At 41.9% G+C, this 23,539-nt stretch overlaps 1 long non-coding RNA gene across 1 annotated transcript, besides 2 other annotated features; it reads right to left on the reverse strand.

Annotated features, from left to right (window-relative positions):
- Nucleotides 1-1,886: 1,886 nt before the first annotated feature.
- On the reverse strand, nt 1,887-20,464 carry LOC105374797 (uncharacterized). Its single transcript, XR_940233.2, has 3 exons — nt 20,031-20,464; nt 19,824-19,933; nt 1,887-2,151 (listed from the first exon to the last, which is right to left on the reverse strand). It is a non-coding gene; the product is annotated as an uncharacterized LOC105374797 (long non-coding RNA).
- Nucleotides 20,048-20,287: a silencer, noted in NCBI's record as "silent region_11622". NCBI's record gives its function as "represses an Ori minimal core promoter by ATAC-STARR-seq in GM12878 lymphoblastoid cells {active_cell/tissue: GM12878}" and the evidence as "EXISTENCE:reporter gene assay evidence [ECO:0000049][PMID:35858748]".
- Nucleotides 21,489-21,598: an enhancer, noted in NCBI's record as "active region_16018". NCBI's record gives its function as "activates an Ori minimal core promoter by ATAC-STARR-seq in GM12878 lymphoblastoid cells {active_cell/tissue: GM12878}" and the evidence as "EXISTENCE:reporter gene assay evidence [ECO:0000049][PMID:35858748]".

Here is a 23,539-nt window from a genome sequence, read left to right on the forward strand (position 1 = left end):
ATATTAATAAAAAAAGAAAGTGGTCAGTAATAACCCATATCTCAAAGAGCAAGGATGGCAAGGACTGATAAGCGGCCATTGAATCTGATAATTATAAGGTCACTGGTGCTTTTGCAAGAGCAGTTTCTGTGGAGTGGTGGGAATAATGAACAACAGGCAATGGACAAGGACTTAGTGCAGAGTGAAGAGAAATATGAGTTCCCTAAACAGGCAGGGAAAAAGAAAGGGGCATTGAAATTGAAAATGGCAAGGAGAGGAGGGAAAAGGGGTGGGCGATCAGGATGACTCAAGCCTTTGTCAATTATACTGCAGGGCTTTGTCTGTGAGAGAGGCAGGGTGGTGCAGTGGGTAAGAGGACAGGCTTTGGAGCCAGGCTGCCTGTATTTGTGTGGAGTTTCACCATTACGTATTAGCTGTGTAAACTTGGGCAAGTTACTTAATGTCTTTGTCCTCAGTTTCCTCATCTGTAAAGGATAATTGTAACCACTTCTCAGGTTTTTGTGAGTGCTTAGAAGCAACCAATAAATGTTAGCTCTCAATGTTATTATTATTATTAATTATCATCATCATCATCATTACTACACAAGTAAACTCTGGCTTCTTCCCTGAATAATATCTACTGCTCTTGTTCTAGGGCAGTGATTTTCAAAGTGTGATCCAGGTCCCTGAAGCTCTCTCAGGGGGTCTGGGAGATCAAAACTATTTTCATAATACAAAGACACAATTTGCCATTTTCACTTACATCCTGTCACAAGTGTATGCTGCAGTTTTCCAGAGGCTACGTGATATTGCAACAGATATTGATATAGAAACAAATATGAAAATCCAGATGTCTTTTATTAAGCCAGACACAAGAGTAATTTTAAAAAATGTCAAAGGTCACTCTTCTCATTTATTTTGGTTGTGGTTTAGAAACTGTATTTTCCATTAAAATGTCTTATTTATGTTAACATGTAATGGGTTTATTTTTGTTAGATGAATGCAAACTAAATATTTAAAAAATGTATCCATTTACATTTCCAATATGGTAAATATTCAAAAGATATCCACAAAACAAAAGCTCTTGGAAGCTATCAATAATTTCTAAGAAAATTATTAGAAAGGGAAACTAACACCTAAAAGTTTTGAGAATCACTGCTCTAGGGACTGAATCAGAATCAGAACAAGAAGTGTTCACTAGTTTGTACTTCTTTCTCTGGTCACACAAGACCACTTGCTTTTCCCTAAGGAAATAATTTATGTTCACAGCTCTGAATCTTTGGTGTGCTATTCCCTCAGTTCACCCTTCTTTGTCAAAACTCTGCATATCCTATAAGACACTTATCTTCTCAGTTTCATTGGCTTACAGTGATGTAGGTCCTCAGCTTACCTTTCCAGAAGCTGCCCCAAATCCAGCATGCTTATGCTCCTTCCCATGGTCTCCTCTTCACCTATCACAAACATAGCGGTAGCTAGCCTCCAAATTGAGCAGAAGTGGGAGAAGAGCCCTCTTCCAAATTCTTTGTCAAACTTTGTCACCTGGGCTCCCAAGCAACATTTCTTTTTCACTGAGTCTCATAAAACTGCTACTTTGGTTTTTGCTCACAAGCCCCTTTCTATCAGTCAGTTTGGTCCTGAGTGAGAAATGCAATATTACCCTGCTCCCTATACCTTCATCTTTCTTGTAGTATTCAGGGGGTCAAGTACTAAAAATATTTTCTTCACAATAGTAGCACTTCTGAACCTTATTTTAAGCTCAGCTGGGATTTCTGTTGTCATTACCATCATCATCATCATTATTCTAATTCTTATATACATTCTGATCCCCACAATAATTCTGTAAGGAATATGTAATCCCATTATGTTAGTTATCTATTGCTGTGTAACAAATTACCCCCAAAACGTAGTGGCTTTAAACATTTATTACCTCAGAGTTTCTGTGGGTTGGGAATCTGGGCTGACTTAGCTGGTTCTGCTTCAGGGACTCACAGGCTATAATCAAGGTGCCGACCGGGGCTGTGGTCATCTCAAGCCTGAGAAAGATTTGCTTCCCAGCCCATTTACATGGTTGTTGGTAGGATTCAGTTGCCCAGTGGCTGTTGGCTAGACACCTCTCTCAGTCCTTCCCACGAGGCTCTCTAAATGACAGCTTGATTCATCAAAGTATATAAGCTAAAAAGGCAATAGAGAAAAATCTAGTAAGAAGGTAGCCAGTCTTTTGTATCCCTATCATGGAAGTGGCATTCCATCACTTTTGCAGAATTCTATTTTTTAGAAGCAAGTCACGAGGTTCAGCTCACATTCAAGGTAAGAGGATTACACAAGGGCATGAATACCAGCATCATTTAGCGCCATCTTGAAAGATAACTGCCACATTCATTTTCCTTGATGGTGAAACTGAAACTCAATGAAGTTGAGTAATATGATGGAGATCATTCAGTTAATAAATGGCAGAGTTGGATTTGAACTTAAGTCTTTCTTACCCCAAAGCATACCTTTAGCATTTCATACATTTTTACATTGTGTTTGTCACTGTGGCAAACAATTTCCCCCATTTAACTGCAGCCTTATTAAGGGTAGGAGGAGCTCGTGCTCCCTATGTTGACAAAAATGTTGGTAAATAGACTGATGAATGAATACGTGAATCAATTAAAATATTAATAGTCCATATATTAGAATTGTACACACAGAAATTACTAAACCAGGGTTCTAACTAAAAAGCCAGGACAGTAAAATAGAGCATGGGTCAAACTAAGAGAAGGGAGAAAACGGGCAACCCAGATAAACTATTGATCCCATGCATTTCTTCACATTTCTTTTTCCTTCTGTGTGAAATATGGCCTTTCTATTTTGGTTGGCAGAGATGAATCCTGTATGTTGCCGGAATCCAAACAGTAGAATGACCAAGAATACTCAAAAGGCATTCTGAATAAAGCTATATCCATGCCCCATCCAAAATGTACTAATTGATTTATTTTAGAGACAGGATATCATTTTGTCTCCCAGGCTGGAGTGCGGTGGCACAATCCTAGCTCACTGCAGCCTCAAACTTTTGGGCTTATGCTATCCTCCCATAGCTAGGACCACAGGTGCAACACCACCATGTCCATCTAATTTTTTATTTTTATTTTTGTAGAGCTGGTATCTCGAACTCCTGGCCTCAAGTGATCCTTCCTTGAGGATCCTCCCTTGAGGCTCCCAAAGCACTGACATCCAAAGCACTAGGCTTACAGGAGTGAGCCACTACACCGGACCAACAAAATGTATTTAAGCTACATATTTATGTGTGTTTAACACAGAAATTCCTAACCTATGTCACCGCGATGCTAGAAAGGAAAGAAAACGGCAGCAGCCAAAATATTTATGCTAGAAGAGATGGAAGGAGCAGAAAGTTTCATGCAAATTTGGTTGTTTGGATTATTCCTTTACCTCATAATAATTGGGTTATTTGTTTATTAATAAAATATTGCCTGTAAAGGTAACATTTTCAATAACTCAGATTTTATTGGTGGGTATTTTTGACATACATTTTGTCCAAGTAGTTCTGTAGTTCCTGCTTTTTATGGGACCTCTAAGATGCTTTCAGATATGATGTTATGCTATGGAAAGGGACTGACTTCTATCATCAGTTTACCAGTCAGTGACAGCTTGCTGAGAAATAGTTGCTGGACCTCTAATTTTCTTTCTTCTGTTGTTCCCTCAGATGTTATTTTCTGGTCAGGACCATGACTCTGAAGAACTGATCAGAAGCAGTAACAGTGTAGCCCCGTATATGAAGGGGAGGAAACTAGCAGTAAAGAATTCCTGGCTGGTGCGGTGGCTCATACCTGTAATCCCAGCACTTTGGGAGGCCAAGGCAGGTGGATCACCTGAGATCGGGAGTTCGAGACCAGCCTGACCAACAAGGAGAAACCTCGTCTCTACTAAAAATACAAAATTAGCCGGGAGTGGTGGTGCATGCCTGTAATCCCAGCTACTCGGGAGGCTGAGGTAGAAGAATCGCTTGAACCTGGAAGGCGGAGTTTGCAGTGAGCCAAGATCGCACCATTGCACTCCAGCCTGAGCAACAAGAGTGAAACTCTGTCTCAAAAACAAACAAACAAACAAACAAACAAACAAAAACAAAACAGAATCCCTGTGATTGTGAGTCTCACTTAGGGCTGGACCGAAAGTATTAGACCATTTACACAGAAATCTATTTTTGTTTTTTTTAGACGGAGTCTTGCTCTGTCGCCCAGACTGGAGTGCAGTGGTGCCATCTCGGCCCACAGAAATCATTTTTAAAAATCCTTTGTGAGGCCGGGCATGGTGGCTCACGCCTGTAATCCCAGCACTTTGAAAGGCTGAGGCTGGTGGATCACCTGAGGTCAGGAGTTCGAGACTAGCCTGGCCAACATGGCCAAACCCCGTCTCTACTAAAAATACAAAAATTAGCCGGGTGTGGTGGCGGGCACCTGTAATCCCAGCTACTCTGGAGGCTGAGGCAGGAGAATGGCTTGAACCCCGGAGGCAGAGGTTGCAGTGAGCTGAGATCGTGCCATGGCACTCCAGCCTGGGAGACAAGAGCAAGACTGTGTCTCAAAAAAAAAAAAAAAAAAAAAAAAAAAAATCCTTTCTGAAAAGTGGGAATGGGATGAACACACTTCTGAAAACATGAAATTTTAACCTATCTATTAAGTAGATCAGTACAACGTAAGAAGCCATCCTAGAGAACAGTCACGTAATAGTGGTCCTACCTTTTGTTGTTTTCCTAAAACATCCCTAGGTATAAGCATCACAGCTAGGTGAGCGATCTCTCCATAGCCTGGCTACCTAGAGACATAAATTTAGTGGCTGAGCCCTAGGCTGTCACTATCAGATTCTTCCACTCTACTTTCTAGTTCTGTTAATTCAGTAAGGAGACTTGCAGAAAATTACCAGTGAAGACTTTAGTCTCTAGAAAATCCTAAACTTATGAAAACATTTAGACACTTCTGCAAGATCCTATAAGTTTGCTGATATTACAGAGTTGAGGAGTCACCACTTGGAAGTTTAGTCTTTAGAGGGGGAGGGTTGAAGGTGACTATCTCTATAGGCTTAAGCATTACAAAAGTGGTAGCTTCATGACAATGGAGCTGTGCATTTAAAATTTTTTTCAATTGTCGAACAGGAATTTTATTTTCTCTGAAGATTTTGCCAAAGTGCCCAGGATGTTACTGTTTATAAGATTAGGTAGGTCATTTGCTGTTGTCAAGTAACATTTGCAATTATTGAGCAAGACTCCTTTAGCCATAAATCTATGCTAACCTGTCCAGGACATTCATTCCACAACTCTTTGCTGACAGTACACAAGTTATCATATAGCTGCATGGGAGTGTGAGGTACAGTTCTATTTTCATCTCACCCTTTGGCTTGCTCTATAACCTTGGGAAATCACTTCTAGGCCCTGTGCCACAGACCTGCCATCTGTAAATTAGGACTGTTTAGTAATCCTCCTCTGGCCAGGTCAATGGAAGTCATGAATTCTGGAGCTGGGCAATTAAGAACTTCTAAACACTCCATGAAAGTGCTATTGACACATTCATTCTTTTGAACTTTATCACATACCAGCCTTCTTGAATATTTGACCATATTTTTGCTCTAGTAACACTTCAACATAAAATGCATTAGAATGATTTTCCTAGCTGGGCATGGTGGCTCATGCCTATAATCCCAGCACTTTGGAAGGCCAAGGCAGGCACATCGCTTGAGCCCAGGAGTTCGAGTCCAGCCTGGGCAACATGGCAAAACCCCATCTCTATAAAAAAATACAAAAATGAGCTGGGCGTGGTGGCATGCACCTATAGTCCCAGCTACTCAGGAGGCCGAGGTGGGAGGATCAAGTGAGCCTGGGAGGTCAAAGCTACAGTGAGCTGTGCACACACCATTGCACTCTAGCCTGGGCAACAGAGTAAGATCCTGTCTCAAAAAAAAAATAATAAAAGGATGATTTCTCTAAATTTGGATGATCTCACCTAAATTCCTTCCAACCTTACTGCTAAGAAAGAGTATAAATTATTACATTTTACATATTCATTTCCATTTCTCCTACCCATCATACAGGTACACTTGAATCATGTCCACTGGATTTCACTGAGACAGGAGCTTAACCAGGATCCATTCATTCTGTTTTAGTTAGTAGTTGGGAATCAATGTTGTTAGAACAAATGGACATTTTTTAACAAAAATTCATACATTTAAGCCTCTCATAAACTTAAAACACCTACATTTACATCATGTTATCTTCTTATCCTTATGTAAGGAAAATGTCAGCCAGACCCTCCCTCCCCTTTGCAATCAAAATAAGGTCATCCGGACATCCAATGTGGGTGTCCATAGCCCTTCAAAGATTAGCATCACTAGTAATTTCTTTTTTTTTTTTTTTTTTGAGACGGGGTTTCTGTCACCCAGGCTGTAGTGCAGTGGTATGATCTCAGCTCACTGCAGCTTCAACCTTGCTGGCTCAATCAATCCTCCCACTTCAGCCTCCCTAGTAGCTAGGACTATAGACATGTGCCTGGCCAACTTTTTTGTAGAGGGCATTTCAACATGTTGCCCAGGCTGGTCTCAAACTCCTGGACTCAAGTGATCCACCCACCTCAGCCTCTCAAAGTGCTGGGATTATAGGCATGAGCTGCTGTGCCTGGCCAATTACCAGTAATTTCTGAGGGGCTTATTTTCTTCTGTCCTTTCTACTCCTGAGCCCCTACTTTTATGAGCACTGTCTTTTCACTGTTCCAACCACCTCAACATGAGCCTTTCCCTCAGTTTCTACAAAACCCCATTCACATAAAGTTTTAGTGAGATTTTAAGATTTGGAAAAATAACTTTAAATTTGTATATTAGACACTCTTGTTCTATAAAAGGTCAATTTTTTTACCCTTTCCCCAGAGATTCCCATTATTCCTTAATTCTATGTACCACCCAGACTTCTCCCCTTGACTTGTCTCTCCCCTCTCCTCCTTGCTTGGCTCATCTCTTCTCACCACTTTATTTTTCTTTCTCTCAGGGGGAAAAATTAATTTCTCTCGGGGTTCAGGCAGGGCAGTTTTTCTTGTGTTGCCAGGGCTTCCGCTCGTACCCATATTTTCAGAGTGTCATTTTATACCCGAAACAGCTTATCAGGGTATTTTCCCAAATAAAGACAGTTTTTTTTTTCTCCCTAAGAAGAATTCTGGTACCATGTCTTACTAATTTCTCTTCATTATATTCAACAATGTAGACTTATTTATGTACAGTCATCACATTTGCAAACTAGTTAGTATTCTACTTTTCTCATTATCTTATACATAATTTCCCATTTATTATTATAATATAGCCCATGTTTGCTACTTTAATACGTATCTTCCCAGTTATTGGGTATTTGAATAGTTTTGACTATAATCCCAAATGTAGATTATGAGCTGAAAATAAACGATTTCATAGATCGTGTGCTTTGCTACAGCACTCTTGAAAAGTTGTTCTAATAAATAATTTTCTCAATTTAACTCCATCAATATTCTCTTTTTTAATTTTCAATTAGCACTGCAGCAAGGCTAATAATTTCCCCAAAATTAACTTTTCTGAGTTTCTTCATGTGTGAACTATTTACACATATGTTTTGTTTTGTTTGTTTGGTTTGTGAGACAGAGTTTTGCTCGTCGCCCAGGCTGGAGTGCAATGGTGTAATCTCGACACACTGCAACCTTTGCCTCCGAGGTTCAAGAGATTCTCCTGCCTCAGTCTCCCAAGTAGCTGGGATTACAGGCATGTGCCACCATGCCCAGCTAATTTTTTGTATCTAGTAGAGACGGGGTTTCACCATGTTGGCCAGGCTGGTCTCGAACTCCTGACCTCAGGTGATCCACCTGCCTCCGCCTCCCAAAGTGCTGGGATTACAGGCATGAGCCACCGTGCCCAGCCTACACATATACTTTGACCCTTGTTCAGTAAAATCTGGGTATTGATTTTAACACCTTTATCAAGATATAATTCAAATACAGTTCCTCCATTGAAAGTGTACAATTCCATGAATTTTAGTATATTCAGAGAGTTGTACAAATATCACCACAATTTTACAACATTTCATTATCCCAAAGATTGCCGGGTCATATGGTAACTCTATGTTTAACTGTTTCAGTAACTACCAGACTATTTTTCAAAGTGGTGGTACCATTTTACAATCCCACCAGTGGTATATAAGGGTCCCAATTTCTCCACATTCTTGCTGTATTAGTTTGCAAGGGCTGCCAAAACAAAATACCACAGACTGGGTGGCTTAAACATCAGAAATGTATTTGCTCACAATTCTGGAAACTAGAAATCCAAGATCAAGGTATGAGAAGGTTTGGTTTCTCCCAGGAGTTCTTTCCTTGGCTTGCAGATGGCTGCCTTCTCATTGTGTCCTCGCATAGCCTTTTCTCTGTGCAAATATCCCTAGTGTCTCTTCCTCCTCTCATGAAGATACCAGTCATTTTGGATTAGGGTCTCACTTTTATGACCTGATTTCACCTTAAGTACTTGTCTAAAGGGCCAATATTCAAATGTAGTCACATTGGGGGTTACAGCTTCAAAACAGGAATCTTAGGGGGATACAATTCAGTCTATACGCTTGCCAACACTAGTTACTATCTATCTTTTTTATTATAGCCATTCTAGTGGCTGTGAAGTAGTATCTCATTATGGTCTTGATTTGCATTTACTTGATGGCTAGTAATGTTGTGCACCTTTCATGTGCTTATTGGCATTTATAGAACTGGCTATTCAAATCCTTTGCCCTGATTTATTTATTTATTTATTTATTTCTTTCTTTCTTTCTTTCTTTCTTTCTTTCTTTCTTTCTTTCTTTCTTTCCTTCCTTCCTTCCTTCCTCTCCCTCCCTTTCTTTTCCTTCCTTCCTTCTTTCCTTCCCTCCTTTCTTCCTTCCCTCCTCCCCTCCTTCCCTTCCTCCCTCCCTCTCTTCCTCTCTTTCTCTCTTTCTCTTTAAGAGAGAATTTTGCTCTATCACCCAGGCTGGAGTGTGGTGGTGCGAACTCTGGCTCACTGCAAATTCTGCCTCCAGGTTCAAGCAATTCTCCTGCCTCAGCCTCTTGTGTAGCTGGGATTACAGGCATGTACCACTACACCTGGCTAATTTTTGTGCATTTAGTAGAGACGGGGTTTCATCATGTTTCACTGTCATTTTTTAAAATTTTATTATTATTATACTTTAAGTTTTAGAGTACATGTGCACAACGTGCAGGCTTGTTACATAGGTATACATGTGCCATGTTGGTGTGCTGCACCCATTAACTCGTCATTTACATTAGGTATATCTCCTAATGCTATCCCTCCCCCCTCCCCCCACCCCACAACAGTCCCCGGTGTGTGATGTTCCCCTTCCTGTGTCCATGTGTTTTCACTGTTCTATTCCCACCTATGAGTGAGAACATGCGGTGTTTGGTTTTTTGTCCTTGTGATAGTTTGCTTAGAATGATGGTTTCCAGCTTCATCCATGTCCCTACAAAGGACATGAACTCATCATTGTTTATGGCTGTATAGTATTCTGTGGTGTATATGTGCCACATTTTCTTAATCCAGTCTATGATTGTTGGACATTTGGGTTGGTTCCAAGTCTTTGCTATTGTGAATAGTGCCACAATAAACATACATGTGCATGTGTCTTTATAGCAGCATAATTTATAATCCTTTGGGTATATACCCAGTAATGGGATGGCTGGGTCAAATGGTATTTCTAGTTCTAGATCCCTGAGGAATCGCCACACTGACTTCCACAATGGTTGAACTAGTTTACAGTCCCACCAACAGTGTAAAAGTGTTCCTATTTCTCCACATCCTCTCCAGCACCTGTCGTTTCCTGACTTTTTAATGATCGCCATTCTAACTGGTGTGAGGTGGTATCTCATTGTGGTTTTGATTTGCATTTCTCTGATGGCCAGTGATGATGAGCATTTTTTCATGCTTTTTGGCTGCATAAATGTCTTCTTTTGAGAAGTGTCTGTTCATATCCTTTGCCCACTTTTTGATGGGGTTGTTTTTTTCTTGTAAATTTGTTTGAGTTCATTGTAGACTCTGGATATTAGCCCTTTGTCAGATGAGTAGGTTGCAAAAATTTTCTCCCATTCTGTAGGTTGCCTGTTCACTCTGATGGTAGTTTCTTTTGCTGTGCAGAAGCTCTTTAGTTTAATTAGATCCCATTTGTCAATTTTGGCTTTTGTTGCCATTGCTTTTGGTATTTTAGACATGAAGTCCTTGCCCATGCCTATGTCCTGAATGGTATTGCCTAGGTTTTCTTCTAGGGTTTTTATGGTTTTAGGTCTAACATGTAAGTCTTTAATCCATCTTGAATTAATTTTTGTATAAGGTGTAAGGAAGGGATCCAGTTTCAGCTTTCTACATATGGCTAGCCAGTTTTCCCAGCACCATTTATTAAATAGGGAATCCTTTCCCCATCACTTGTTTTTGTCAGGTTTGTCAAAGATCAGATAGTTGTAGATACGTGGCATTATTTCTGAGGGCTCTGTTCTGTTCCATTGGTCTGTATCTCTGTTTTGGTACCAGTACCATGCTGCTTTGGTTACTGTAGCCTTGTAGTATAGTTTGAAGTCAGGTAGCGTGATGCCTCCAGCTTTGTTCTTTTGGCTTAGGATTGACTTGGCAATGCAGGCTCTTTTTTGGTTCCATATGAACTTTAAAGTACTTTTTTCCAATTCTGTGAAGAAAGTCATTGGTAGCTTGATGAGGATGGCATTGAATCTATAAATTACCTTGGGCAGTATGGCCATTTTCATGATATTGATTCTTCCTACCCATGAGCATGGAGTGTTCTTCCATTTGTTTGTATCCTTTTTTATTTCATTGAGCAGTGGTTTGTAGTTCTCCTTGAAGAGGTCCTTTGCATCCCTTGTAAGTTGGATTCCTAGGTATTTTATTCTCTTTGAAGCAATTGTGAATGGGATTTCACTCGTGAATTGGCTGTTTGTCTGTTATTGGTGTATAAGAATGCTTGTGATTTTTGCACATTGATTTTGTATCCTGAGACTTTGCTGAAGTTGCTTATCAGCTTAAGGAGATTTTGGGCTGAGACAACAGGGTTTTCTAGATATACAATCATGTCATCTGCAAACAGGGACAATTTGACTTCCTCTTTTCCTAATTGAATGCCCTTTATTTCCTTCTCCTGCCTGATTGCCCTGGCCAGAACTTCCAACACTACGTCGAATAGGAGTGGTGAGAGAGGGCATCCCTGTCTTGTGCCAGTTTTCAAAGGGAATGCTTCCAGTTTTTGTCAATTCAGTATGATATTGGCTGTGGGTTTGTCATAGATAGCTCTCATTATTTTGAGATACGTCCCATCAATACCTAGTTTATTGAGAGTTTTTAGCATGAAGGTTGTTGAATTTTGTCAAAGGCCTTTTCTGCATTTATTGAGATAATCATGTGGTTTTTGTTTCACTGTCTTGAACTCCTGGCTTCAAGTGATCCATCCACCTTAGCCTCCCAAACTGCTGCCACCATGCCCGGCCCTAATTTATTTCTTTGTCATAACAGATATTATTTCTATAATAGATTATTTGCATTATATAGTATATTGGTGTGTGTGTATATATATACACATATATACACATATATATACACATATACATACAGTATATTATATACTATAACCATATAGATATCAAGCAGACTAGATGCTACCATAGGAGAATTTTTTTAAATCTTGGGGATATGATAGCCTTTCTAGGAAAGAGTAAAAGCAACAACAAAAAACCCTAGAAAGTTAGAAAAAGTAATGTGACTATATGAAAATCAAAAATAATTCAGCCAGGCATGGTGGCTCATGCCTGTAATTCCAGCACTTTGGTAGGCCAAGGTGGGCCAATTGCTTGAGTCCAGGAGTTTGAGACCAACCTGGGCAACACTGCAAAACCTTGTCTCTACAAAAGATTAGCCTGGCATGGTGGCACATGCCTGTAGTCCCAGCTACCTGGAAGGCTGAGGAGGGATGATCACCTGAGCCCCTGAGGTTGAGGCTGCAGTGAGCTGTGGCTGCCACTACACTCCAGCCTGGGTGACAGAGTGAGACCCTGTTGCAATAATAATAATAATAATAATAATTCACTGCAAAAATACAGTAAACAAGCCAAAAGACAAAGGGGGTAAAAGATAAGTAATTTATTCATATTGGACTACTTTCATTATTTTATATATATATATATGCATGTATACATATCTATGCACTACAATTTTTAAAAAGACCAACAACTGAATAGAAAATTAAAAATTAAATTTGATAATGTACTGTATAGAGACGTGTTGAAACAGTGGTCCTGACAAATTGTTATGGGAGCCACAACTGACATGAACTATATATGGATATTAATTTGGTAACATATATGGAATGTTTTAAGTCCGTACCTTACAATATAGTCAATACATACATATATACATTTATAATTTTTCTTAACCCATGGAATGTCTTTGAAAGGATATGCAAGAAACTGGTCAACAGTGGTAGTCTAAGAGGAAAGAAAGCTGGGGGCAGGAGGCAGTGGAGGATGAAAACTGTCTTTTCACTGCATATATTTTTGACACAATTGAAAATTTTAACCATGTCATGCATATTATCTAGTCTTCTGTACAAAAAAAAAAGGAAAAGAAAATGACATGTGGATATAAGACTGAAAGATTTGAAAGCTGTTGCAAGATGGCCGATTAGAAGGAGCTGCAGTCCACAGCACTCACTGAAGGGAATGTAAAGGCGCGAGTGAATTCAGCACCTTCAACTTAAATATCCAGGTTCTTGCATTGGGACTAACTAGGCAAATAACTCTACCCACGGAGAATGAAGAAAAGCAGGGGGCAGGGGACGACACCCCATCTGGGAGCTACAGGGAGCCAAGGGAACCCCCATCCCCAGCCAAGGGAAGTAGTGAGTGATTGTGCGACCCTGCCTGGGAAACCACGCTTCTCTCACAGATCTTTGCAACCCCATGGATCAGGAGTTCCCCTCCTGAGCCCATGCCACCTGGGCCTTGGGTCCAAAGCAGAGAGCTGTGTGGAATCTTGGCAGAGCAGCAGCTGAGGCACACACAGAGACTAGGGAGTTTTACATACTCCAGCCCCGGGATCCCTGGCAAGGTGGGAAATCCCTCCCTACATCTCCTTGGGAAGGGGGCTGAATGCAGGAAGCCAATCAGCATCATTCTGTGGGTCCCACTTCCATCGTACCCCACAAGTTAAGACCCACTGGCTTGGAATTCCAGCCAGCCAATGGCAACAGGCTGGAATCTGCCTGAGATGGGTCTGGGTTCCAGAGAGGGAGGGGCGGCCGCCATCTCTGCAGTTCAGTAGCAGACTCAGCTGTTCCAGCCTAATGGCTTTGAAGAATACAAATAGTCCGAACGAGGAAGGGTCCTCCACAACGCAGCACAGCGGCCTTGCTAGATTGTGGTCTGACTGCTTCTTTAATCAGGACTCTGATCCATTCCTCCTCATTGGGCGGGATCTCCCTCCAGGGGCTTCAGACACTCCAGCCAGGGTTCTAAAATAGAACTCTCATCCCTCTTTGGGATGGAGCTCCCATGGGGAGGGGCAGCTGCCATCTCTGTGGTTTGGTTGACTCAGCCGTTCCAGCCTGCTGGCCAAAAGACTACAAATGATCTGGATGAGGAAGGGTCCCCCCAATGCAGTACACTTACTCTACCAAAAAGCAGCCAGACTGCTTCTTTTTTTTTTTTTTTTTTAAATGGAGTCTAGCTCTGTCACCAGGCTGGAGTGCAGTGGCGCAATTTCAGCTCACTGCAACCTCCACCTTCTGGGTTCAAGCGATTCTCCTGCCTCAGCCTCCTGAGTAGCTGGGATTACAGGCATGCACCACCATGCCGGGCTAATTTTTGTATTTTTAGTAGAGACAGGGTTTCACCATATTGGCCAGGATGGTCTCGATCTCCTGACCTCGTGATCCGCCCACCTCAGCCTCCCGAAGTGCTGGGATTACAGGCGTGAGCCACCGTGCCCGGCCCAGACTGCTTCTTTAAGCGGGTCCCTGATCCCGTTCCTCTTGACTGGGTGAGACCTCTCAACAGGGGTCTCCAGCCACCTCTTACAGGTATGTTGGGGCAGGCAACAGGTCAGTACTCCCCTGGGATGGAGCTTCCAGAGGAAGGAGCTGGTTGCCATCTTTGCTGTTTTGTATCCTTCACTGGTGATACTTCCAGGTATGGGAAAAACTGAGGCAACTAGGGTCTCGAGCAGACCCCCAGTAAACCACAGCAGCCCTTTGGTAGAGTGGCCTGGTTATTAAAAGTAAAACAAACAAACAAACAGAAAACAACAACAACATCAACAAAAAAGACTCCACAAAAACCCCATTCAAAGGCCAGCAACCTCAAAGATCGAAGGCAGATAAGCCCACAAAGATGAGAAAGAATCAATGCAAAAACACTGAAAACTCAAAAAGCCAGAATGCCTCTCCTCCAAATGACTACAACACCCTCCAGCAAGGGCACAGAACTGGGCTGAGGCTGAGATAACTGAATTGACAAAAGTAGGCTTCAGAAGGAGGGTAATAATGAACTTTGCTGAGCTAAAGGAGCATGTTGTAACCAATGCAAAGAAACTAAGATCGTGATAAAACAATACAGAAGCTGATAGCCAGAATAGCCAGTTTAGAGAGGATCATAACTGATCTTATGAAGCTGAAAAACACAACATAAGAACTTCACAATGCAACCACAAGTATCAATAGCAGAATAGCATGAAAAGGAATGAACAAAACCTCTGAGAAATATAGGATTATGTAAAGAGACCAAACGTATAAATGATTGGGGTACCTGAAAGAGATGGGGAGAATGGAACCAAGTTAGAAAACCAACTTCAGGATATCAACCAGGAGAACTTCTCCAACCTGGCAAGACAGGCCAACATTCAAATTCAGTAAATGCAGAGAGCCCCAGTAAAATACTCCATGAGACCATCAACCCCAAGATACATAATCATCAGATTCTCCAAGGTTGAAATTAAAGAAAAAATGTTAAGAGCAGCCAGGAGAAAGGCCAGATCATGGCTGGGCGCGGTGGCTCAAGCCTGTAATCCCAGCACTTTGGGAGGCCAAGGCGGGTGGATCACGAGGTCAGGAGATCGAGACCATCCTGGCTAACATGGTGAAACCCTGTCTCTACTAAAAATACAAAAAATTAGCTGGGTGTGGTGGCGGGCACCTGTAGTCCCAGCTACTTGGGAGGCTGAGGCAGGAGAATGGTGTGAACCCAGGAGATGGAGCTTGCAGTGAGCCGAGATTGCACCACTGTATTCTAGCCTGGGCAACAGAGCCAGACTCCATCTCAAAAAAAAAAAGAAAGCCAGATCACTTACAAAGGTGACCAGACTAACAGACTAACAGCTGACCTCTCAGCAGAAACCCTACAAGCCAGAAGAGATTGGGGGCCAATATTCAATATTCTTAAAGAAAAGAATTTCCAACCCAGAATTTCATATCCAACCAAAGTAAGCCTCATAAGTGAAGGAGAAATAAGATCCTTTTTAGACAAGCAAATGCTGAGGGAATTTGTCACCACCAGGCCTACCTTCCAAGAGCTCCTAAAGGAAGCCCTAAATATGGAAAGCAAAAACCATTACGAGCCACTACAAAAACACACTGAAATACACAGACCAGTGACACTATAAAGCAACCAGATAAACAAGGCTGCAAAATAACCAGCTAGCATCGTGATGACAGGATCAAATTCACATGTAACAATACTAATCTTAAATGTAAATGGGCTAAATGGCCCCAATTAAAAGACACAGAATGGCAAGCTGTATAAAGAGCAAGATCCATTGGTATGCTTTCTTCAAGAGATCCATCTCATGTGCAAAGACATACATAGGCTCAAAATAAAGGGATGGAGGAAAATTTACCAAGCAAATAGAAAACAGAAAAAGGCAAGGGTCGCAATCCTAGTTTCTGACTAAACAGACTTTAAACCAGTAAATGTCAAAAAAGACAAAGAAGAGCATTACATAATGGTAAAGGGTTCAATGCAACTAGAAGAGCTGACTATCCTAAATATATATGCACCCAATACAGGAGCACTCAGATTCATAAAGCAAGTTCTTAGAGACGTACAAAGAGACTTAAACTCCATGCGATAGTAATGGGAGACTTTAACACCCCACTGACAATATTAGACAGATCATTGAGAGAGAAAATTAACAAAGGTATTCAGGACCTGAACTCAGCTCTGGATCTAAAGGACCTGATAGATATCTACAAAACTCTCCACCCAAAAACAATAGAATATACATTCTTCTCAGTGCCACATGGCAGTTACTCTAAAATTGATCACACAATTGGAAGTAAAACACTTCTCAGCAAATGCAAGAGAACTGAAGTCATAACAGTCTCTCACACCATAACGCAATCAAATTAGCACTCAAAATTAAGAAATTCACTTCAAACCACACAACTACATGGAAATTGAACACCTGCTCCTGAATGACTCTTGGGTAAATAATAAAATTAGGCAGAAATCAATAAATTTTTTGAAACTAATGAGAACAAAGAGATGATGTACCAGAATCTCTGGGATGCAGCTAAAAGAGTGTTAAGAGGGAAATGTTTAGTGCTAAATGCCCACATCAAAAAGCTAGAAAGATCTCAAGTTAACAACCTAACATCTCAACTAAAAGAACTAGAGAACCAAGAGCAAAGAAACCCCAAAGCTAGCAGAAGACAAGAAATAACCAAGATCAGAGCTGAACTGAAGGAGATAGAGACATAAAAAACCTTCTAAAAAAAAAATCAATAAATCCAGGAGCTGGTTTTTGAAAAAATTAATAACACCACTAGCTAGATTAATAAAGAAGAAAAGAGAGAAGAATCAAATAAACACAATCAGAAAAGATAAGGGGGATATCACTGACCCCACAGAAATACAAACAACCATCAGAGAATACTATAAACACCTCTATGCACATAAACTAGGAGGTCTAGATGAAATGGATAAATTCCTGGACACATACACCCTCCCATGACTGAACCAGGAAGAAATTGAATCCCTGAATAGACCAATAACAAGTTGTGAAATTAAGGCAGTAATAAATAGCCTACGAACCCAAAAAAGCCCAGGACCAGATGGATTCACAGCTGAATTCTCCCAGAGGAACAAAGAAGAGCTGGTACCATTTCTACTGAAACAATTCCAAAAAATTGAAAAGGAGGGACTCCTCCCTAACTCATTCTATGAGGCCAGCATCATCCTGATACCAAAACCTGGCAGAGACACAACAAAAAAGGAAACATTGATGAACATCGATGCAAAAATCCTCAATAAAATACTGGCAAACTGGGCTGGGCATGGTGGCTCATGCCTGTAATCCCAGCACTTTGGGATGCCAAGACAGGCAGGTCACTTGAGGTCAGGAGTTCCAGACCAGCCTGGCCAACATGGCAAAACCCCATCTCCACTAAAAATGCAAAAAATTAGTCATACATGGTGGTGCACGTCTGTCATCCCAGCTACTCAGGAGGATGAAGCAGGAGAATCGCTTGAACCTGGGAGGTGGAGGCTGCAGTGAGCTGAGATTGCATCACTGCACTCCAGCCTCGGTGACAGAGCAAGACTCTTTCTCCAAAACAAAACAAAACAAAACAAAACAAAACAAAACAAAAAAAACTAGCAAACTGAATTCAGCAGCACTTCAAATAGCTTATCCACAACGATCAAGTAGGCTTCATCCCTGGGATGCAAGGTTGGTCCAACATACAAAAAACAATAAATGTGATTCAACACATAAACAGAACTAAAGACGAAAACTACACGCAGAAAGACCTTTGATAAAATTCAACATTCCTTCATGTTAAAAACTCTCAATAAACTAGGTATTGAAGAAACACCTCAAAATAATAAGAGCCATATATGACAAACCCATGGCCAATACCCTACCGAATGGGCAAAAGCTGGAAGCATTCCCTTGAAAAGCAGCACAAGACAAGCTGCCCTCTCTCACCACTCCTATTCAACATAGTTTTGGAAGTTCTGGCCAGGTCAGTTAGGCAAGAGAAAGAAATAAGGAGTATTCAAATAGGAAGAGAGGAAATCAAATTATCTTTGTTTGCAGATGATATGATCCTATATCTAGAAAACCCCATTGTCTCAGCCCCAAAGTTTCTTAAGCTGATAAGCAACTTCAGCAAAGTCTCAGGATACAAAATCAATGTGCAAAAATTGATAGCATTCCTATACACCCATAACAGGCAAGCTGAGAGCCAAATCATAAATGAACTCCCATTCACAATTGCTACAAAAAGAATAAAATACCTAGGAATACAGCTAACAAGGGAAGTGAAGGACCTCTTCAAGGAGAACTGCAAACCAATGCTCAAAGAAATCAGAGAGGACACAAACAAATGGAGAAACATTCCATGCTCATGGATAGGAAGAATCAATATTGTGAAAAAGGCCATACTGCCCTACTCCCATTAAACTACCATTGACATTCTTCACAGAATTAGAAAAACTATTTAACATTCATACAGAACCAAAAGAGCCCAAATAGCCAAGACAATCCTAAGCAAAAAAAAAAAAAAAAAAAAAAAAAAAGCTGGAGGCATCACATTAGCTGACTTCAAACTGTACTACAAGGCTACAGTAACCAAAACAGCATGGTACTGGTACAAGAACAGACACATAGACCAATGGGCCAGAATAAAGAACTCAGAAATAAGATCACACAACACTGTTGGTGGGAATGTAAATTAGTTCAGCCATTGTGGAAGACAGTGTGGCAACTCCTCAAGGATCTAGAACCAGAAATACCATTTGACTCACAATCCCATTACTGGGTATATACCCAAAGGAATATAAGTCATTCTGCTATAAAGACACATGCACACGTATGTTTACTGCAGCATTATTTACAATAGCAAAGACATGGAACCAATCCAAATGCCTATCGATGATAGACCGGATAAAGAAAATGTGGTAACATATACACCATGGAATACTATGCAACCATAAAAAAGAATGAGATCATATCCTTTGCAGGGACATGGATGAAGCTGGAAGTCATCATCCTCAGCAAACTAACACAGGAACAGAAAACCAAGCACTGTATGTTCTCGCTCATAAGTGGGAGTTGAATATTGAGAACACATGGGCACAGGGAGGGGAACAACACACACTGGGATCTGTTGGGGGGGTGGGGGGCAAGGGGAGGGAGAGCATTAGGACAAATACCTAATGCATGCAGGGCTTAAAACCTAGACGATGGGTTGGTAGGTGCAGCAAACCACCATGGCACATGTATATCGATATAACAAACCTGCACGTTCTGCACATGTACTCCTGAACTTAAAAGTTGAAGAAAAAAAGAAAATGAACGTGCATTGTTCTCCATTGCGAATAACGGCCACCAGAATTCCAGGGTAACAAATCTCTTAGTTGTCCTCTGGCCGAAATCTCCTCGTGCCCCACACCCTGCCCCATATCACAACAAGGCTTTTTTTTTTTTTAAGACACCGGGCTGGAGTGAAGTGGTGCGATCATGGCTCATTGCAGCCTCCCGCCTCAGCCTCCTGCCTCAGCCTCCCAAGTTTTTCTCACTTTTTCCCTTGTTCCTTTTTCCGTGTTCCTTAAATCAGAAAATAGTTTCCTGTCACCTGTCTGGACTCCTCCCCGTGTGCCTGCTTTGCCAGGTTTAGGTGAGGTGGACACAGAAATAGCGAAGTTGTCCTCTGGGGTGTGTCCTAATCCAAAACAGGTTCATCCTGGGACCACAGGCAGGCGCCACCCCTACACGTTTTTTGACGTTGGAATGTGCCTTATGTGGGCTCCCCTAATTACCTGTTTTCATATCTGCTCATCCACCGGAATGACTGGGAGATCCTCTAAGTGGAAGCTTTTTCCTATTTCCATGTGTCCCCAAGCACTGTGGCTGGCCCTAAATAGGTGTTCTGTAAACAGCAGGCGAAGAAATTATTAGTCTTAAAAAGGACAGAAAGACTCCCGCAAAAGCAGCAGCGCGTGCCGAACACCTTAGGCCTCACAGACCTTCTATTTGAGGAATGTGCTCCCCCAATCCCAGACCGCTCCTGGTGGGGCGGGCGCGAGCGCAGGACCGCGGAGCCTGCTGCGTTGCTCGGCTGCAGGGGAGGAGCTGGGCCCCGCCCCCGGCTTCCCGCGCTCCGCGTCCATTGGCTGGCCTCGGGGGTGGGCGGGTCCCGCCGCACGGAGTCCTGCGCCTTGAGGCTCAAGCGGCGGCGTGCAAGGCGTGTGAGGCGCGTAGAGAGCCGCGCGCGCCGTCTGCGATGCCCCGGGACGGCGTTCCTGCCGGGAATACCACCCCGGCGGCAGCCCAGGCTGCCGCGCAGAGCCCGGATTCCGCGACTGCCGGGGCACCGCAGGTTTTGGACTCGCTGAAGCGGTGAGCTCTGCCTTTGCCCTATATGCCGCGCTCTCGCCCGTGCTCTGGGGCAGTTGGCAGTGGGTGGGCAGGAAGGGGCGGGCCGGCAGGGCGTCGCACGTTGGCGTCCCCGCGTCGCGGGAATGGGGTTCGGATTCCCCCCGTGAATGTCATTCCCCAGGCTACCGGTCTTTAGCGCTAAGTTGCATGGGCTGGTGTGCCAGTCGGTCAGCGAATAGCGGCAGAACGCCTGGCCGGGCCGGCGTTTTCCGGGACACTCGTTTCGGCCTCGCAGTGGCAGCGCCTCCTGCGAGCCTAGACCGGCTCAGTGGACGCGCCGCGCTGTGCACGCGGGTCTGGGGAGACGGCGGTTCTTGAATGATCCCTCACACTGCAGGGTATCTGGGAGCGGTGGATTGAGGGGGCACAACGTGGCTTCTGTGTCGGTGAAATCGCTTGGACCAGCTCCAGTTCTTTTTAAAGATTACTCTTGTAAAAAAAAAAATACATTGTAGAATTGCATAATATGCTCTATCTCATCCAAAAATAGTTTTTGATGTCAGAGTAGTCATATGAACGCAACATTGACCCCTTTACCCCCCTAAATAATAAATCTTGAGCTTCTTATTGTATGGTAATAGATTTCTTTCATGAGAGAAATTTCTCAGGGAGTTAATCCACTCTCTCTCCCCTACTGCAAGATCCCGCTGCAGTGGTCCTAAAAAAGAAAAAGAAAAAGAAATTTCTCATACTACAGAAGAATAAAGTAGCCACGCTCTGTGTTTTGAATCAATTTTCAAGGATTTTTTTTCCACTTTGCTTAGGCGTTCTTTCACCCACAACTACACCCCCAGGTTCCAGATTTTGGAATGGTGTAAATAACGCCCCCCGGCGCCCATCCACTTAGCGGAAGGAAAGTCAGCCACTAGGCTGCGGGCTCCGGGCTGTCCCCAGCGTGGGAGAGGCTGTCCTGCTGGCCCGGCTGTTTATTGCAGCGATTTGGATGTTCCAAGAGTCACAAGGGACACTGCTCACGTCCCCATCTAGGGGGTCACTTCATAGCAGCATCAGCTCTTTCTTTTCATCCTTCTTGCTTGAGTCTGCCTCCGGTCCTCTGGATGGAGCAGGCTACAACGGACGCTCGGAGTAATGAAGTGAATTGCTCTTTCTTGATACAAATGAATACTAGTGCTGTACTGCCTTCTCCCAATCTTTGTGGCGTTTGTGTGAGCTGCTGAGAGCAGGCAGTGGAGAGAATGATAGACATTTTGCAGAAGCGGAACGCTCTAGTGTTATGTCATCCTTCTTGGCTCTGGTTTCTAGGTCCAAGTTCTGGTGACATTGTTTCAGCTTGCTTTGCCCTTTCCCAGGCCCCTGGGTTAGTTTGAAGGGAAAGGAGTGCCTGTTTCTTACCCCATAAGGACTAGGAAAAGGGATTGCTGGCTTGAGAAAGAGGTGCTGTAAGTTATCCTCTGCGGCCAGAATTCTGAGGATTGGAAGATTATGGATTTTTTAAAAAATGAAGGCATATAGAGGAATGGTAGACTACTGTAATTATTCTTAATAGGATGTTGGGAAATACAAATGCTGACCTATTTTATTCAGTAATTAGGGGAAGCTTAAGTACTTTAAATGCACCCTTTTAAAATTGCCAGTGTTACTGTGAATTGTCTTGTAAAACCAAAAAGCACCCCCAATTTAGCCTTTCTGTAGATCTTTTACATATGCTTAAAGGATTTGGGTCGGGATTCTTAGTGTCTTTGTATTTAATTTTGTGTCTTCGAGGAAGGGGAGCTATGAAATGTAGTACTTCCATACCTTTTGCCTCTGGGGACGTTTTTTGGTGGCAAGGAAAACTTATTTAGTGCTGATTTACGGGAATAGAATGGTTTAAGGAATTTGTTGGAGATTGCTCGTTTAAAAAATGCCTTGGGTTCATTATGATTTGGTAAATTGTACGGTATTGCTATATTTCATCCAAAATAATTTTCCATTTCAGGGTAAACATTTGAATGTACATTGACACTTCTATTTCCTAAATAATAAGTTTTGACCTTTCTTATTTTGTTTTCGGTCATCAGTTTTGAAGGATTATTTTTTCCCAAATTTGCTTAGGTTTGCTTTCATCCACAACCACGTGCCCAGGTTCTAAATTTGGAATGGTGCTAATAGTGTCAAATGTGCAATTCTGGGTAGGTATATGTGGGTGGATGGGATGGCTTATAGGTTGTATTAAAATTTTATTTTTTTTCTCCGTTGAAATGTCAGCCCCACCAGAAACTATTAATATTATGACATTATCTCCTTCAAGAAATGGATGTGATGATAAAATGCTTTAGTAATTTTGAATATTATAATATTATGACCACTAACATTAAATGCTGTGATTTTTAAAAATGGCTTTCAATTAGAAGGTTTTGATAACTTGAGTCTTTCTGTCATCTCTCAGTAATGTGCCATTACTAAAATATTTTTCCCCCCCTCTCTCCAAGGCCTCAACATTTTCCTTACTGCATTCATGTAAGAGCTGTGGTTTTGGTATGAAGGTTAAATCCCCTCACTTCTGACTTACATGTGCAAAAATTTACAGTTTGAGATCTATACCAAGGTTCACTTGGGTAACAGGATTCACAGCTTGAATCAGTAAAGTATCTTGTTTCCCCTGCTTCTGGGCAGGTGGGATCTTTGGAGTATCATTTCTTTATTTTCGTTATTTCCCAAGTTTTTGAAAATATTTTAATTTTGATTAAGATAAAGAAATGACTTAAATTTTTTTAATAAAAATTATTTGGGTAGACGATAATTTCACAGGGTTAAAAATTAAAAAGTTTAAAAAGGTATACAATGTAAAGTCTCTATCTTTTGCCTGTTTCTCGGCTTCTCAATTCTCATTCTGACAAGTTGCATGCTGGGTAATCATTATTATTAGTTTATTACTTCACCTCCCAGGATATTTTATATGTATAAAAGTGAAAACAAGTTTACATTTCCCCTTCTTATATGTATTTGCAGTTTTCTTCCATTGCTTTTTCCACTTGAAAATGTATCTGAGAGATCTTTTCTTACCAATACAGAGAACATCCTCAATGAAAGGTGTTTTTTTTGTTTGTTTGTTTGTTTTTCCCCTGAAAAGTAATTAGCAAAGAAAGAGAATGAA

The sequence above is a fragment of the Homo sapiens genome, chromosome 2, assembly GCF_000001405.40.
Source record: "Homo sapiens chromosome 2, GRCh38.p14 Primary Assembly".
In the NCBI taxonomy this organism is placed as follows: Eukaryota; Metazoa; Chordata; class Mammalia; order Primates; family Hominidae; genus Homo; species Homo sapiens.